General features: G+C 37.2%; 1 protein-coding gene across 37 annotated transcripts in view, besides 2 other annotated features; it reads left to right on the forward strand.

Annotated features, from left to right (window-relative positions):
- The window catches only part of CHD9 (chromodomain helicase DNA binding protein 9), a 272,507-nt gene that overhangs the window by 110,468 nt on the left and 142,447 nt on the right, over positions 1–19,592 (forward strand). The gene's annotated exons all lie outside the window — the stretch shown is intronic.
- Positions 17,979–18,273: an enhancer, noted in NCBI's record as "tiled region #10980; HepG2 Activating DNase matched - State 8:EnhW". NCBI's record gives its function as "activates a minimal TATA promoter and a strong SV40 promoter by Sharpr-MPRA in HepG2 cells {active_cell/tissue: HepG2}" and the evidence as "EXISTENCE:reporter gene assay evidence [ECO:0000049][PMID:27701403]".
- Positions 17,979–18,273: a silencer, noted in NCBI's record as "tiled region #10980; K562 Repressive non-DNase unmatched - State 16:ElonW". NCBI's record gives its function as "represses a minimal TATA promoter and a strong SV40 promoter by Sharpr-MPRA in K562 cells {active_cell/tissue: K562}" and the evidence as "EXISTENCE:reporter gene assay evidence [ECO:0000049][PMID:27701403]".

Consider the following 19,592-nt stretch of genomic DNA (forward strand, 5'->3'; position numbering starts at 1 on the left):
TTTCATTTCCCCCACCCCAGAAGGTAATGGTGGTGGTGGTAGAATGCTCTGTTAGAACAAGATGAAAATAATTTTAAAGGGAGGTCTCATATGTTTACATTTTTGACAGTTATTCTTAATACCTCCAGGAATTACCCTAACTTAATGTATTCGATTGAAATACATTAGATATTTGAAAATCATCTTAAGCAGAAAGAGTTAATTTTATATATATTAGTTATTATAAAAGAGAGGAAAACCTATATAAAACTAAAGCAATGCTCACACCCAAGCTATTTGCTGTTTTTTTTCCTAAGGTACTTTAGTTATAGCATACTATTTTAAAAAATGGTACCTTTTCCTAAGTCAAAAAAGCATCAGATGTACGCACAATTAAAACACTTGTCACTCTACTTTTGCCCTAAGCAAAAAGAAGAAAAATGACTTATAAAATATTTAGATTGTCTCCTTGAATGATTAAAACTTTTATAAGGTACCATCCCTCTATTTTTCAGAATTTGTTTAAATCTTTATGCATTTGGCATGGTATTACTTATAAAAGTTTCAGAATTCCTAATTGTCTGACTAAGCCAAAGCATAAAATAGAAATTCTGTCTAGGAATTTCTTTCAGTTGTTTTTTCACTTAAAGTGGACTACTTCTTGGTTTTGTTATTTCTGTCAGATCTTCTGTATTAAAATGTTCTATTTTAACTGGGAAATTATAGAATATTAGCTAGTTCTGAAATACATCCTAGTTATTAAACTATGTAGTATATTGTAGAAGAGTTAAGCTTTGTACTGCCTGTCAGGAATCAGAGTAACAGACATTCCTGTTGTTAACATTAGCTTTAAGGCTATTGACCTCTAGCATGCATACTTAAGGGTAAGAGGTGAACAGAAAGTAAATTCCAGGAGTGTGGAAAACCCAGCTATTGGTGAGAAATTTGTGGATTAGTGCAGTATATGAAGAAAGACTGAAGCCAAACTTCAAAATAGGTCTCAGAAAATTTTGTTGTATTTAATTGTATTTAGGAGGTACATTCCCAGATACCTTAGGACTACTCAGTCACTTATTTATCATTATTGATACATGAAATATAAGATAATTTGTTAGGACCTACAGAGTCATCAAATTTATTCCTATGATTGTAACATTAATACAAAGCTGTTTTGAAATACTTAAGTATGAATGACAAGGTTTCTCTATTTGGGCAATTGGACTGAAATGATTTTAAATTAAGGAAATGTTTTAATACAATATGGTGTGGATATAGTTAGGAAGCATGGACTGCAGTTTCTTGTTAAATAAAATCTGATCATTTGCTTTGGTCAACTATGCAAATACTTTGCACATTTACTATGTAAGGAATACTTTACAAATTATGGAAAGAGGATAATCTTTGAGAGCTGTTTTTCCTACATAAGTATGTGTTTGTATGCCTGAAAACAGTACAGGTTTACATTGACCATTTCATGGGTTCATAGAATTTTTGACCTGAACATGGTTTCACTCTATCCTCATATGCAAAGAATAAACAGGGTTAGAAAGATCATGACTTGCTTGCTGTCACATAACTAGTTAGCATGTTCCTTTCATAGATCAAACTGTGTAGTGTTCAAAGGTGATCAGAAGTGACAGCAGTACCCACACTATGGACAGATACATATTTAATAGGCCATATTATAAAATACAATTGTACCTGGTTGTCTTTGATTATTGAGAAATACTTTTTAGTTTTGTATGTGTCAATTTTAATGTCTAAATTTTTTATCTCTGTGTTTAGTGTTTAAAAATGTAACTTTACTGTACCTTGTCAAATGTAGGTATAAATTGTATATACATGTGAATGAATTTTAAATAACATCTGTGTTTTAGAAATGTTGACTTTTTAGCTCTTCTATTTGTTCAGTATTTATTAGATGTCTGCCATATGTAAGAAATTATGCCAGGCACTGAGGTTGCAGAGATGATTAAGAGAAAATTGTCCTACTTTCCTATTGTTCTATATTATAATTTCAGAGATGTTCTCTTTTCATTTCTGATTCATTTCCAGTTGACAGTGGTTTCTAGCACTTTCTCTTAGCCCTCTAGCTTAGTGATTTGTAATGAGTAATTTACAAACAAAAAATTAATTTTCATTCTACTTAAAGAAGGTGTTCCTCTAAGTTTCTAGCTTAGCTCTTTGTTTCATGGCATTTGACAATCTGTAATTATTTGATTCTTCAAATACATATTATATACATAATATAGTGTATATCATATATACATATCATATATAGCTATCTAAGGTCCAATTGCTTTTGTAAATGACAGTGCCAAGAAAGTGGACCATTCTCTTTTTAGTTTCTATTCTACCTATATTTATTACAAATTATCGCAAAACTCTTACAAAAATGTGCTATGGGATTCAACTTTTATGAGATTTTTGTTAAAAAAAGGGTTATTGGTCACTTAGACAGATATTCTTAGAAGATTGTATTGTAGGATAAATTTCCTAGGATTTTTCCCCCTAATTACATTAAGTGAAAGTAAGATTTTGGAAGTAATTTTTAAAAATAATATAGGAAACATTGAGTATAATTAGAATTAGAAATAGTAATAACATTTGCTTTATTTATTTATTTATTTATTTATTTTTTTGAGACGGAGTCTTGCTCCGTCTCCTAGGCTGGAGTGCAGTGGCACGATCTCAGCTCATTGCAACCTCCGCCTCCCGGGTTCGAACAATTCTCCTGTCTCAGCCTCCCAAGTAGCTGGAACTACAGGCGCCTGCCATCATGCCCAGCTAATTTTTGTATTTTTAATAGAGATGGGGTTTTCACCTTGTTGGTCAGGCTGGTCTTGAACTCCTGACCTCAGGGGATCCACCTGCTTTGGCCTCCCAAAGTGCTGAGATTACAGGCATGAGCCACCACATCCAGCCTGCACAATATTTTTAAAAGTGGTTTTACCCACATTATTTGAGTTTTTTAGTAGTACATTGGAATATATATAGATATATTAATATAAAAGTTGGTATTATTTCATGGAATTTACAGATTTGAGGTGTTGAGAGGGAAAGTAACCTCTAATGTAGATAGCTACTAATGGTTTAGTAGAAACTTGGCTCTAAATTTATTATGCATTCTATGGTACCTAACTGCCTTTTACTCACAGCAAAAAAATAACAAAAGTTCATAGAGCACCTATTGTGTATTAGGTTGGTGCAAAACTTTCAGTGGCAAAAATTGCAATTATTTTGCACCAACCTATCAGGTATTGTGCTAAGTACTTAAAAGTACAAGTATAAAGAGACTATTTTTGGGAGTGGAGGGGCAGACAGGGTCTGGCTGTGTTACCCAGGCTGGAGTACAATGGTGCAATCACAGCACACTGTAGCCTTGAACTCCTGGGTTCAAGAGATCTTCCCACCTCAGCCTCCTGAGTAGGTAGAACTGCAGGCGTGGGCCACCACGCCTGGCGAATTTTAAAATTTTTAAATTATAGCTGTGAGTCACCAGGCATGGTGCTTTGGGAGCACCAGCACTTTGGGAGGCTGAAGTGGACAGGTCACTTGAGCTCAAGAGTTTTGAAACCAGCCTGAGCTTCTTGGTGAAACCCTGTCTCTACTAAAAATACAAAATTAACTGGGCGTTGTGGTGCATGCCTGTAGTCCCAGTTACTCGGGAGGCTGAGGTGGGAGGATCGCTTGAGCATAGGAGGTCAAAGCCACAGTGATCTGATATCATGCCCTGCACTCCAGCCTGGGTGACAGATGAGACCCTGTCTCAAAACATATAAATAAATGAAATAAAACTTTTTTGTAGAGATGGATCTCACTATGTTGCCCAGGACAGTCTTGAACTCCTGGCCTCAAGCAGCCCTCCCACCTTGACCTCCCAAAGCACTGGAATTACAAGCATGAGCCATGGCTTCTGGCTAAAGAGGACTTTAAGGCTAGATCTCAACTGGTGTTTTTGTTATGTTACAAGAAAAAAGGTAGCTCCAAGTCAGCTTAAACAATATCAGAAATGTCAATATTATGAATTTCTTTAAAATATCTGTATTGAAAGTCTCATTTTTTCTAATCTTTTATTTTGAAAAAATTTCAACTTATCAGAAAGGTGAAAGAATAGTACCCTTTACATATATTCACTAATTGTTAATTATTTTGCCACATTTGCTTTCTCTTACTATTTTTATTTCTAATTTTTCTTTGGCTGAACCATTTGACAGTAAGTTGTAGACATCATGGAGATGTTGCCCCTAAATATTTTAACATGACTCCCTTTAGAATGGGAACATTCACCTCCATGAATATAAGACTTTTACCACAACCAAGAAATATAACATAAAATAACATTATATACTATATAGTCCAAATTCAAAATTTTTAACTTGTCCCAATAATATTCTTTAGAGAGATATCTGGTTTAAATTTCAGGATCCAATCAAGGGTCAGGCATTACATTTAGTTGTTATGTCTCTTTAACCTCCTTTAACCTAATACAAGTGTTCCCTGTCCTTTCTGTTGTTCCATCCTAACATGACATTTTTTTAAAATACAGGTACAAGCCAGTTACCTGTATTTGTTTGGTTATTCATAATTCAGGTTAAGCAGTTTTTTTTTGTTTTTTTTTGTTTGTTTTTTTTTGGTGAGAATGCTGTATATATGATAGCTATTGGATCACATTAAGACACATGATATTAGTTTGTCCCATTATTGGTGATGCTTGATTTTCTCAGTATAGGTATCTTTTCACCTTTGTAATTAATCACGGGGATTTTTATATAAAAGAGTTAGATTCATGGATTTTTTAAAAAATCAGTTGTAAAAATCAGTGTGTTAAAAATCATTGTACTATAATATGTTATAAAAATGTGTTTATAAAAAATGTGTTATAAAAATTAATGTGTTAAAAATCAATGTCGTAACCGATTGCCATCATTATTCTTTTTGAATATTTGGCCAGAGGAAGCCCTGTCAAGCCAACTCTGTGCTATTTTAACAGATGCTCATTAATCTTTAAGTACTTCTGGTGCAAGAACTTTGTAATTACCCTGCCTTAGACCTGGAATGAGCCATTTCTTCAAGGAGCTCATTTGCTTTTTGATTGACCTTGTAAAATGCATCGTGCAGTACTAGTATTTTGTAATTTCGTGTGTGTGTGTGTGTGTGTGTGTGTGTGTGTGTGTGTGTGTTGGAAGCTTGTGGTTATATGAACAAATTCCAGAAATTCTGATTGAATTTCACAAGTGCTTTGTCAACATCTCTGATTTTGTTTAGGCCCTTACTTAGTATTTTATTTAAGTTAAACTGATATTGAGCGAAGGGATTTGTGTTTTTTTAGGTTGGACACAAATTTTTGAGAACATAACTGCTAAGCACTGATATTCTAAGACAGCTTTGTCAATAGGATATTATAGATGAATTCAGAAAGTTTTTTGAACACTTATCATAAATAATACACTATGTTAGGCATTCTGCTTTTCTTGCAACTCAGGAAGGAAGTAAGGCCCATATAACAAATATGCATAACAAAAGGTAGTCCCAATGCATGAACCTCTAAAATAATGTGTATTAAAGCAGCAGTATAGACACAGATAATATATATAATAATTGTTGATAGATACTAAAATATCAGTTATGCTTTTGTGTTTCTCCTTTTAGGATTGGCATATTTTAAATCTATTAATAAAAACAATTTAGGCCAGGTGCGGTGGCTCACACCTGTAATCCTAGCACTTTGGGAGGCCAAGGTGGGTGGATCATGAGGTCAGGAGATCGAGACTATCCTACTATCCTGGCTAACACAGTGAAACCCCGTCTCCACTAAAAAATACAAAAAAATTAGCCAGGCATGGTGGCGGGCGCCTGTAGTCCCAGCTGCTCGGGAGGCTGAGGCAGGAGAATGGTGTGAACCTGGGAGGCAGAGCTTGCAGTGATCCGAGATCACGCCACTGCACTCCAGCCTGGGCAACAGAGCGAGACTCCGTCTCAAAAAAGTAAAATAAAATAAAAATAAAAACAATTTAGTTGAAGTTTCTATTGACTGCCTAGTGTATGAAAAGAGATAGACATATGACAACTAGAAAAGTAATACATGTCCACTGAAAGTATTCAGGAAACAGTTTAGAAAGCCCAAAAGGACCAGACGCTGTGGCTCATGTTTATAATACTAACACTTTGGGAGGCCGAGGCAGGTGATCACTTGAGCTGAGGCGTTTGAGACCAGCCTGAGCAAAATGGCAAAACCCCGTCTCTACAAAAACTACCAAAAAATGTAGCCAAGTGTGGTGATACGCACCTGTAGTCCCAGCTGCTCAGGAGGCTGAGTTGGAGGATTACTTGAGCCCAGGAGACAGGGGTTGCAGGTGACAGAGGGAGACCCTATCTCAAAACAAACAAAACCACACACACACACACACACACACACACACAGACACACACACACACACACACACACACACACACACACACACAGCAGGAAAGTACCCCCTCATCCCACCAATTAGAAATAATCACTTTTTATGTTTTGGGGATATATGCTTTTAGTTTTGTACTCTATAACCATTTACCTATTTGTTTTCTATATCAAATTTTCAGCTTTATGGAGATAAAATGGACATATAATAAACAGAACATATTTAAAGTATAGAATTGGGTAAATTTTGACATATGTATATACCAGTGAAATTAATATCACAGTGAAAATACAGAACATACTCATTACCCCCAAAAGTTCCCTATTGCCTCTTTGTAATTCTTCCTTCCATCTCCTCCTTCGCGCACCCAGACAACCACTGATCTGATTTCTGTCACTCTATGTCCATTTTCTGGAATTTATATATAAATGGATTCAATAGTATGTACAGTTTGTATAGCTTCTTTTACTCAACACAATTATTTTGAGGTTCACCCAGTCATTGCAAGTAAAATAATTCATTCCCTTTTATTGTTAAAATAATATTTCATTATATGGATCTACTATAATTTGTTCGTTCACCTGATGATGTATATGATTTCCCGTTTGGGGTTATTATCAATGAAGACACTATGAACATTTTTATGTAGTCTTGTGAAGACATACATTTTTATTTCCATTGGGTAAATACCTGGCAATGGCTGGGTTTTTAATAGGTATATATTTAACTTTTTACGAAACTAGGAAAATATTTTTCTAAAGAGATTGTACCATTTTACATTTCCTCTAACAGTGTCTAAGAGTTCCGTTCGCTCCACATCGTTGTCAGTGCTTGATCTGATATGGTCACTGTTTTTAATTTTAGCCATACTGATAGGTGAAGATAGTGGTATCTGATTGTGGTTTTAATTTGTATTTCCTTAATGATTCATGATATTGAACATTTTTTTCATGTGCTTATTTCTATCCATATATATCCTTTGGTGAAGTCCCTGAAATTTTTGCCCACTTACAAAATTGGGTTGTTTGATTTGTTATTGTGTTGTAATATTCTAGTTGTCAGATATCTATTTTGCAGATATATTTTCTCCCAGTCTGTGGGTTGCCTTTTTTTTTCTTAACAGCATGTTTTGAAGGGCAAAAGTTGTTAAAGTTGATGAAGTCTAGTTCATTACTTCTTTTTGAAAATAAAATTGTGTTTTGTTTCATGTTTAAGAAATCTATGCCTGCCCAAGGTCAGTGAAGATTTTCTCTTATGTTTTCATGTAGAAGTTCTGTGTTTTTCTTAAATGTTGGTACAGTTCACCATTGAAGCTATTCAGAAATTTTCTAGATGGGAATATTTTTAATTATAAATTTAATTTCTTTAATAGGTGTAGGTCTCCTTAGGTTATCTGTGTCTTTTTGAGTGAGTTTTTGGTAGTTCATGCTTTTCAAGGTATTTTTCCCATTTCATTCAAGCTGTTAAATTTATCAGTATAATGTTTTTCATAACATTTCCAGCCTTTGAGTATCTATACAATTAATTATGTACATTTCTGATAATGGTAATTAGTGTCTCCTTTTCTTCCTAATAAGTATGGCTATAGGTTTACCAGTTTTATGGAATTTCATTGGGTTTTCTCATTTTTCTGCTTTATAGTTAACGGATTTATGCTATCTTCATTATTTCTTTCTTTTGCTTTGTACTTAATTTACCTAATTTTATTTTTTTTTTTTAAGACGGAGTCTCGCTCTGTTGCTCAGGCTGGAGTGCAGTGGCGCGATCTCAGCTCACTGCAAGCTCTGCCTCCCGGATTCACACCATTCTCCTGCCTCAGCCTCCAGAGTAGCTGGGACTACGGGTGCCCGCCACCATGCCCACCTAATTTTTTGTATTTTTAGTAGAGATGGGGTTTCACCGTGTTAGCCAGGATGGTCTCGATCTCCTGACCTCATGATTCACCCGCCTCAGCCTCCCAAAGTGCTGGGATTACAGGTGTGAGCCACCGTGCCCAGCCAAATTTGTTATTTTTTTTAATGTGGAAGCTAACAAACATCATTAAGATCTTTCTTCTTATTCTATTATAGGCATTTGATGCTATACATTTCCCATTAAGTGTTGTTTTAACTGCATCTCACAGATTTGTATTATGTTTCATTTTTATTCAGTTATTCAAGATAATTTTGAATTCTGTTTTAAGTTTTGAATTCCCCCTTTAATTTCTTCTTTGGCCCATGGATTATTTTGAAATGTGTTATTTAGCCTCGGCAACATGGCAAAACCCACTCTCTACAAAAAAATACAAAAATTAGCTGGGTTTGGTGGCATGCACCTGTAGTCCCAGCTCCTCAGGTGGCTGAGGTGAGAGGATCACTTGAGCCCAGGATGTTGAGGCTGCAGTGAACCAAGATCGTGCCACTACAGACTGCAGTCCAGCCTGGTTGATGGAGTGAAACCCTGTCTCAAAAACCAAAAAGGAAGGAAATGTGTTATTTAATTATATTTGCTTTCTAGAGACCTTTCTAATTTAATTCCATTGTAATCAGAGTACATAATTTGTATGTTTTAAATTTGTTTACATTTATTTAGACTTGTTTCTTTTACATGTTTTACATTTGTTTACATTTATTTAGACTTGTTTCTATGGCTTCTATTAGTGGCTTTGCATGTATTCTTTGCTCTGTTACCTACTTTGTCTGATACTAATGTAATCATTTCTGTTTTGTGTTTATATTAACATGGTATATCTTTTTCTGCCCTTGTACTTTTAACCTATTTATGTATTAATTAATTAATTTTTAAGACAGAGCCTCACTCTGTCACCCAGGCTGGAGTGCAGTGGCGCGATCATGGCTCTGTGCAGCTTCAATGTCCTGGGCTCAAGCAGTTCTCCCACCTCAGCCTCCCAAGTAGTTGGGACCACAGGCACGTGCCACCATGCCCAGAAATTTCATTTTATTTTTTCTAGAGATGCAGTCTTACTTTGTTGCCCGGGCTTGTTTTGAACTCCTTTGCATACCTGATAATGTTTGAATAAATGCCAGATGTGAATTTCACCTTCTTGAGTAATGGGAAATTTTGTATTCCTCTAAATATTCTTAAGTTTTGTTCTGGGATGCAGTTAAGTACTTGGAAATCATTTTGTCCTTTTGAAATACACTTTTAAGCTTTTTTAGCCCGGACCAGCGCAATCTTTTGTATAGGGCTAATTTTACTCCCCTACTGACACAATCGCCTTGTGAGTCCTCTACCGGATGACAGTTAAAGTTTTTTACTGTGGCTAATGGGAACATGCTGATTTTTTTCTGGGTTTTGGGTAATCTTTTCACGGACAATTGCTGATCACTACTCATCTAGAACCTTTAAAGGGCACCCTCTGAAGATCTCTGGAGGTCTTTCTCTGTGGAACTCTCTCCTTTCTGGAACTTTGCCATATAAACCAGTTACCTTGGGTTCTTGGCTTCAAGTTCTATCTCCAACTCAGGGAGCCTGCCAGATTTTACCTGCACTCCCTGTTCTATTCTGCAGTTTGCAGTAAGCTGGGGCAATAGTAGGTCTTAGTTGTCTTGTCTCCTTTCTCTTAGGGATTGCTGTCCTGGGCTGCCTGATGTACAATATCTAAAAACTATTGTTTCATATATTTTGCCTTGTTTTTCAGTTGTTTCAAGCATGAGAATAAATCTGGTCCCTATTACTCCATCTTGGCCCTAATCGGAAGACATACATCATTTTAATGACTGCATAATGTTTCATAATATGGAATTGTCATAATTGTTTATTCTTCTTTGACAGTATGATAAGCATCTTTATAGATACATTGTTGTGTATAACCATGATTAGATTCCTGGAAAATAAGGCAAATATACATTTTCAAAGCTTTGATATGAACTGACAAGTTTTCCTTTGAAGATTTATACAAAGCTGTAACTGCTTTTGAGCAATTATACTCAAGTTCATGGCTTTACATATATTTTCTCATTTAATCTTCACAATATCTCTGAGTTAGATCTTATCATCTACTGTTTTTACAGATAAGGACATGAAGCATAGGATGGTTAAATGGCTTGCTCAGAGTCATACAGATAGTGGCAAAGCAAGGATTCAAAGATAGGAGGCAGGACTCTGGGGCCCATACTACTGTCTGTCGCCTTAGAATATGGGGATATTGAAGCTGGAAGGAACCTACAACCATGTATCAGTTTCTCCTGCTGTTGTAATAAGTTATCACAAACTTAGGTGTCTTAGAACAACACATATTTATTATCTTACAGTTCTGGAGATCAGAAGTCTGAACTGGATCTCACTGGACTAAAATCAAGATGTCAATAGGGTTGCAGTCCTTTCTAGAAGCTCTAGGGGATGATCAATTTTCTTGGCCAGTTTATAAAGGCTGCCCACATTCTGTGGCTTGTGGCACCATTCCGTCTTTAAATCCAGCAATGGCTGGTCAAGTCTTTCTCACGTTGTATCACCCTAATGTTTTTGTTTTGTTTTGTTTTTGTTTTTCCTCCGTCTTCCACTTATAAGGACCCTAGTGATTACATCGGGCCTACATGGATAATTTAGGATAATTTCCCAGCTCAGCTGATGAACAACCTTAATTCAATCTGCAACTTGAATTATTTGCCATATTACCTAAAATATTCACAGGTTTTGAGGATTAGGAGATTGATACATTGAATAATCAGGCCATTATTCTGCCAACAACAAGCCATAAAGGTCAATTAGAAGATGCTGCTTTAACAAAAAATTAACAAGGGACTGATTTATGACTTTATGACCTCATGACCTCACATTATGAAAAGCCTATTTGAGTACCTTTCTTTTCTGCTCAGTTTCTTCTCACTTCTGCTTATGCTAGGAATTATTTAGTGGTATAGAGTGAAGTGATTTAGAGTTGGGTTACTTGAAATTTATAGTTCCAGATTTCCCAATAATGCATATTTGAACAATTTAAATAAACTGAGCAATTTTTGAAAGAAGCAAAATTGTCATTCATTCAGCAGTTATTTAGTAAGCCCCATCCTGGTGCTTTGTGCCAGGCATTGTACTGAGTACTTTTTATGTGATCACATTTTATCCTCACAACAATCCAATGATGTTAGTGGTGACATCTTTATTTATTTAATTTTATATATATATTTTTTGAGACAGAGTCTCACTTTGTCGCCCAGGCTGGAGTGCAGAGGCGCCATCTCGGCTCAATGCAGCCTCCGCCTCCCAGGTTCCAGTGATTCTCCTGCCTCAGCCTCCCAGGTAGCTGGGATTACAGGCACATGCCACCATGCCTGGCTAATTTTTGTGTTTTTCATAGAGATAGGATTTCACCATGTTGTCTAGGCTGGTCTCAAACTCCTGACCTCAAGTGATCTGCCTGCTTTGGCCTCCTAAAGTGCTAGGATTACAGGTGTGAGCCACTGCGCCTGGCCGACACCTTAATATATACATGAAGAAACTAGGTTCTAGGTACTATAGCTTCTAAGTCACAGACTTAAGGCATGAACCCAGATTTGAGAAAAGTAGGTATTAGGAAAATATTTTAAAAGTAATGATTTGTTTGTACGTCTGGATCTGAAAGGGAAAAAAACGAAAAAGACATGATTTGATCCAGTATTTTTTAATTAATGATGATTCCTTACATTAAGGCTTTTAAATTTAGTACTAGAAGGAGCCTTAATCATTTAATAATTTTTAATTTTTCAGTTGGAGAAACTGAGGCCCAGATAGAGTCTACATAGCCTTTTAGTGGCATAATCCAAAGAGGTTTCCTAATCCTATTTTCTTTTCTATTGCTCTTGTTATTACATAACTATTTCTTAATCCATTTTTATGCAGTCTTACTCCTAATTTTTGTTGGTTTCAAGGAAAGAGTACAAATGAAAGCTCTCATTACCGTGTGCCTAAATATTTGAAAGTTCAAAATCAAGCCAGTAAACTATGTTCTTTCCTTCATCCTTGATAAATGGAAGCACTGATTTGAATTTAGCATTCTTGGACTCTCTGGAGTTCTACATCCAGAATCTGGCAGAAGCAGGCTATTCTACTCTATTCTACTTGTCTTTCCAATCCTGGTTCCATCCTAAACCCCAAGAGGCCTCATGAATACACATGAACTTCTCAGGCTATGTATGTAAGTGCCATCTTTTTCTCCCCATCTCTTTGGCCTAAGCATGCACATACTGGCAGTAAAGTTCATCCTTGAGAGAACACACATAGGGAATAGGCTCAGGCAGGTTCTGCAAGTGGGTATGAGACTGTTGGGGCAGAGAATTTCAGAGTGTCAGGGACCTGGAGCATGTTCCATAAGATGGGAAGGGTGATATATCCTTTTGACCCCAGGAGGACTATGGCAAAAGAACCAGACCCTCTAAATTGTGAAGCCCAGGGAAGGAACACATCTTGTCAAATGTAAAAGCCGGTGTTTTCTTCATGAACAGTGACACAGATTTGTGAAGTTAGTTGGTGAGAGATGTGGATAGTTTGTCTGTGACCAGAATCATGATTTTCTCTCTATGGAAATCAACCTCTACTTTGGGCTCCATATCTTCTGTCAATTCAAGTAATTTTGGTTTATTAAATACTTCTTGTTTTTGTTGGTTTCTTTTTTTTTTTTTTTTTTTTTTTGAGACAAGGTCTTGCTCTGTCACCCAGGCTGGAGTGTAGTGGCGCAAACATGGCTCACTGTACCCTTGACCTCCTGGGTTCAAGTGATCTTCCGTGCTAAAGTGATCTTCCTGCCTCAGCCTCCCATGTAGCTGGGATCTCCCAGTTAGCTGGGCGTGGTGGCATGCCTGGCTAATAATTTTTTTATTCGTTGTAGAGATGAGACTCTCACTGCCTTGCCCAGGCTTATCTTGAACTCCTGGGCTCAAGTAATCGTCCTGCCTTGGCCTCCCAAAGTGCTGGGATTACAAACATGAGCCACCTCACCTGGCCTTATTAAATACTTTTAAGAATTTATGGATGACTATAGTTTTAAAGTTTTCTTCAAAGCAAAGCTATATATGTACTTGGGATTCTGGACTTTAAATTGAAATTGGGCCAGGCATACTGGCGCACACCTGTAGTCCCAGTTACTTGAGAAGCTGAGTTCAGAGGATTGTTGAGGCTAGGACTTTGAGGCTGTAGTGTGCTATGATCCTGCTTATGAATAACCACTGCATTCTAGCCTGGGCAACATAGCGAGACCCTGTTTCTAAAAAAAAAATTAAAAACGAAATTGTCTTATGAATACATATATGTGAATCACTTAGAGTCAATAGTTAAGATTTTGCCGTATTTGCTTTATTTGTGTATATAGGATAGATTTTGGTTTTGGCTTTAAAAGTAAATTGCAGTTATCATGAGACTTTACCTCTAACTATTTTATTAGACATCTCCCAAGAATGACATTCTTCTATACAACTAGTATCACACCTAAGGTAACTGCTAATTCTATATCATCTAAAACCTAATCCAAATTCAAGTTTTCCCAGTTGTTAGAACCAGCAGTTAATTTTTTTTTATCATTTTCACTTAAAATATCAGCTCTCTTAAAATATCAGTTTTGATCACTATATGAGAATTAAAAACACTATTTAAAATTGTTGGAGCCATGTTTATTAATTGTTAACCTCCTGTCTTATACATATTTATGTCCCTCTGCATCATCTTAAAGGGGGATCAATAAGTATTTGTCAAATTACATTAAAATGAATTATTTGCAGTTTATTTTTTGAAGCCTATTATAAATAATGTATCTTGTACCCAGTCATACTGTTTTGTCATTTAAAAAATTAATAATTAAGCAGCCAGGCACAGTGGCTCAAGCCTGTAACCCCAGCACTTTGGGAGGCCAAGGCAGGCAGATCACCTGAGGTCAGGAATTCAAGACCAGCCTGGCCAACATGGTGAAACCCCATCTCTACTAAAAATACAAAAATTAGCCTGGTGTGGTGGCACGCACCTGTAATCCCAGCTGCTCGGGAGGCTGAGGCAGGAAAATCACTTGAACCTGGGAGGCAGAGGTTGCAGTGAGCCGAGATGACACCACTGTACCCTACCCTGGGCGACGGAGTGAGACTTCATCTCAAAAAAAAAAAAAATAGTAATTAAGCATGGCATACAGATTTTTATATATTTTCTCATCAGCACAGTGCCCTTTGAAGAGCAGTGGTCATTATGAGTTTCTCTAGGAAGTTCTTGAATTGTTACCTTACCTTCTTTTTTTTTTTTTTTTGAGACTGAGTCTTGCTCTGTCACCCAGGCTGGAGTGCAATGGTGCCATCTCGGCTCACTGCAACCTCCACCTCAGCCTCAGCCTCCCGAGTAGCTGGGATTACAGTTGCCCACCACCACGCCCAGCTAATTTTCGTATTTTTAGTGGAGCTGGGGTTTCACCATGTTAGCCAGGCTGGCCTCGAACTGCTGACCTCAGGTGATCCACCTTCCTCGGCCTCCCAAAGTGCTGAGATTACAGACATGAGCCACCGCCCCCGGCCTTACCTTTGTTTTAATGTGCTTTCCCAATTTAGTTTTTCCTTCTGGGAAAATGTTGGTTAAAACTGGGGTAAATGGAAAGGATTTGCATAATTTGAGGACAGCAAGTTCGATGCTAAGGATCTCCTTAAATTTATTTTATCTTCAGGGGAGAGAAATATGACAAGGATTATAAATATTTTGAAACTTTTAGTGATGTATTTAGGGGAATTATAGAGACAGTACTTTTTAAGAAGAGACTTATTGAAATGTAGAGAAGGAATATATTTAATTTTCAGCACTGTGGATTTCTTAAGTGCATATCAGCACCACTCTGATCTCTATTAGTGGTATGGTTATTGAAACAGACATCTCTTTTTTTATTTTTTTAAATTTATTATTTTTTTTTGATACAGTCTCGCTCTGTCGCCCAGGCTGGAGTGCAGTGGCGCGATCTCGGCCCACTGCAAGCTCTGCCTCCCAGGTTCACGCCATTCTTCTGCCTCAGCCTCCCCAGTATTAGCTGGGACTACAGGCGCCCGCCACCACGCCCGGCTAATTTTTTGTATTTTTAATGGAGACGGGGTTTCACCGTGTTAGCCAGGTTGGTCTCAATCTCCTGACCTCGTGATCCGCCTGCCTCAGCCTCCCAAAGTGATTGAATTACAGGCGTGAGCCACCTCGCCCAGCCTGAAACAGGCATCTCTAATAAGTATGAGAGACACGATTTTTTTTTTTTTTTTTGAGACAGAGTTTCGCTGTTGTTGCCCAGACTGGAGTGCAATGGTCCGATCTCAGCTTACCACAACCTCTGCCTTCCGGGTTCAAGCTATTCTCCTGCCTCAGCCTCCCGAGTAGCTGGGATTACAGGCATGTGCCACCACGCCTGGCTAATTTTTGTATTTTTAGTAGACATGGCGTTTCTCCATGTTGGTCAGGCTGGTCTTGAACTCCCGACCTCAGGTGATCTGCGGGCCTTGGCCTCCTATAGTGCTGGGATTATAGATGGGAGCCACTGCACCTGGCCGAGAGCCACAATTTTTTGTTTCTTTTTTTGAATTTTAACTTTTGATTGAAGGTGAGAATAAGTGAAACTTGTCATGTAAAGTTTTTTGAGGAACCGCAATTACTATGGTACAGTAATTTAAGTAATTTAAGTAATTTGCTTAAGTAATATACTTAAGCAAAAATTAGAGTGCTTATATGAAACTTACATATAGGAATGAGCAGACCAATATAAATGTCAGAAAAGGTTAAAACTAAGAGAATTATTTTTAAGTTTCTGTGTAAACTAAATTTTTTTTGGAGTAGCTTGGATATACTTTTGAGAGCTTCATATAGGCAAATCAAAGTGCTTTTTTAACATGTTTTCTATATGTAACACAAGTTTAATGTCTCAACATGATATTGAATGAGTTAACATCTAAAGCACTGTTTAATTTATTTAGTTGATAGTAATAATCCTCAAAATGTTACTGAGGGATGAGTATCTCTGATTAAAAATGATAAAACAGGGCTGGATGCGGTGGCTCACACCTGTAATCTCAGCACTTTGGGAGGCCGAGCTGGGCGAATCACCTAGGGTCAAGAGTTTGAGACCAGCCTGGCCAACATGGTGAAACCCCAGCTCCATTAAAAGTACAAAACTTAGCCAGGCATGGTGGTGCATGCCTGTAATCCCAGCTATCGGGAGGCTGAGGCAGGAGAATCACTTGAACCTGGGAGACAGAGGTTGCAGTGAGCCGAGAGTGCACCGCTGCACTCCAGCCTGGGCAACAGAGCAAAACTCCATCTCGTATATTTTTACTATGCATGATTAATTAAGCATGCACACACTCATGGCAGTTTTCTGGTCATTATGTCATAGTATTTGCTTTTACTGCAGAACAATTGGTGGATTTTTAAGGCTTTATTTTTATTTTTATTTTTGAGACAGGGTCTTACCCTATCACCCAGGCTGGAATGCAGTGGCTTAATCATGGATCACTGCAGCCTTGATCTTCCAGGCTCAAGTGATCTTCTCATCCCAACCTCCCAAGTAGTTGGGACCACAGGCATATGCCACCACATCCAGCTGATTTTTTTAAAAAATTTGTGGAGATGGGGGTCTTACTATGTTGCCCAGCCCAGGATGTATTTTTTACTTAATGATTTTATTCTTCATTGGTTAGTCCAATTTATTTTACCTTCAGAGGATAGTCTTTTGAAGATACTTCATGAAAATTGACACTATCTGGAAAAAGAGTATGATAAGGACTCTTGATCTGGGTCATTTGATACAAAAGTATCTTGAATGCAATTTTTGTTATTTCAATAGTATGTTTGAGTTACAGGTTTGTGTTATAGATGAGCCAATTTTTTTCCATATTTCTGAGTTTTAGAAAAACACTTCACTAATCAGACTTTAATACTTAAATCTACATAGGAATTTGAGCTAAAAGGAGGAAATCCAGCCTAATTAAATTAAAAAGTACATTTAATTTTTATAATTATTTTAAGTGATATTTCATACATATTCTTAATTCTTTTAAGAAAGGAATGAATGTTTTAGAGACTTACTTTTCATTGAAATTATTTTGTGGAATTTGAAATCCCCAATAAGATCAAGTGTTTTAAGTTTATATCATATATGTATGAATGTGTGAATATACGAATGCATATGAATATATGTGAGACTATATATTAGCTAACTTTTTGTTTTAGGTTGCATGTCCTTTCAACAATTACAATCAACAACGATTCACCTTCATAATACTTTCTAAAAGCTGTTAAAGTCAAAATGATGTAGTCATTTAAAAATATCAGCTTCTATACTAACACTTGAATCAACATTAATTTATATGTTGGTACTTTAAAAATAATGTAGCTGCGCAAAAACAGAAAAGTGTAGAAGGTAGTATATAAACATCAGAAACCTACCACCTAGGTTTAACAAATGTCGTATTTGTTTCTTTCCTTTTTTTAAGAAATAAACATTATGGATAACCATTGAAAACCTCAGGCCCATTGACATTTTTTTCCAGAGCAAACCACTATTCTGATATTGTCTTATTTTTCATTGTCATCTTTTCAGTATATGTTTCTGTAATTTCATCATAATGCTGTATATCCATAAACATCTAGGAGAGAAAGGGGAAGGAACAGGGAGGATGGTTATATCTGTAACAGGTTATTTATTTAAAAGACAGAGATTTGAAGCAAAAGAAGGTAAATATTAACATTTATTCCCGTTTAATGAGTGTCAGTTTATTTTCTCTGTCTTAAAAATGTTATATAATTAAACATTAACAACAAAGCAAAATAGTAGCTTTGGAGTTAGGCAACCTTGGGTTTAAAACTCCTTTCTAATGCCGAGTACAGTGACTCATGCCTTTAATCCCAACATTTTGCAAGGTCAGAGTGAGAGGGTCGCTTGAGGCCAGGAGTTCGAGACCAGCCTAGGCAACATAGCAAGACCCTGTCTGTACAAAAAATACAATACAATACAATACAATACAATGCAATACAATGCAAATACATCTCCTTTCTGCTACTTAACAGCCATGTAACCTTGGGCATGTTTGTTAATCTTTCCAAACTTTAGTGTCCTCATTCATAAAATGTGGATAATATTGGTACCATCCACACAAGATTGTTTTTCACAGGTACCTGGCTAATTTTTTTTTTTTTCTTTTTTTTTGAGACGGAGTCTCGCTCTGTCGCCCATGCTGGAGTGCAGTGGCGTGATCTCGGCTCACTGCAAGCTCCTCCTCTTGGGTTCATGCCATTCTCCTGCCTCAGCCTCCCAAGTAGCTGGGACTAAAGGCGCCCGGCACCACGCCCGGCTAATTTTTTGTGTTTTTAGTAGAGATGGGGTTTCACCATGTTAGCCAGGATGGTCTCGATCTCCTGACCTCGTGATCCTGGCTAATATTTTTTGAGTGCCTATTATGTTCTAAACTCTGTACAGTATTCTATTTAATCTTATCTCAATCACTAAAAGAGATAGATATGGCACTAAAAGAAAGGATACATATGTATGTGTTTATGTAGTGATTTGTGTCTTAGACTGTGTTTGTTGTTACGGTTTTTGAAACAGGGTTTCACTCTGTTGCTCAGTCTGGAGTGCAGTTAAATTTTCATGGCTCACTGCAGCCTCAACCTCCTGGGCTCAAGCTATCCTCTCACCCCAACCTCCCTAGTAGCTGGGACTACAGGTACACACCAGCATGCCCAGTGAATTTTTGTTTTTGTTTTTGTTTTGTAGACATGGGGTTTCACCACAGTGCCCAGGCTGGACTTGAACTCCTGGGCTCAAGTGATCCTCCCACCTCAGCCTCCAAAAGTGCTGGGATTATAGACATGAGCCACAATGGAGTGGTGTTTAAAAGATAGTTAGATGGGTGCCATGTAGAAGGCCTTGGATGCTGATAAGGTTTGGCTGTGTCCCCACCCAAAATCTCATCTTGAATTATAGTTCTCATAATCCCCACCTGTCGTGAGAGGGACCAAGTGGAGATATTTGAATCACAGGGGCAGTTTCCACCATCCTGTTCTGGTGATATTGAGTTAGTTCTCACGAGATCTCACAAGCCCCTTTTATAAGGGGCTTCCCCCTTTGCTTGGCTGTCATTTTCTCTCTCCTGCCACCATGTGAAGAAGGACATAATTGCTTTCCCCTTCTGCCATAATTGTAAGTTTCTTGAGGCCTCCCCAGCTCTCCGAAACTGTGAGTCAACTAAACCTCTTTCCTTTATACATTACCCAGTTTTGGGAAGTTCTTTATAG

Source organism: Homo sapiens, chromosome 16 (genome assembly GCF_000001405.40).
Source record: "Homo sapiens chromosome 16, GRCh38.p14 Primary Assembly".
In the NCBI taxonomy this organism is placed as follows: Eukaryota; Metazoa; Chordata; class Mammalia; order Primates; family Hominidae; genus Homo; species Homo sapiens.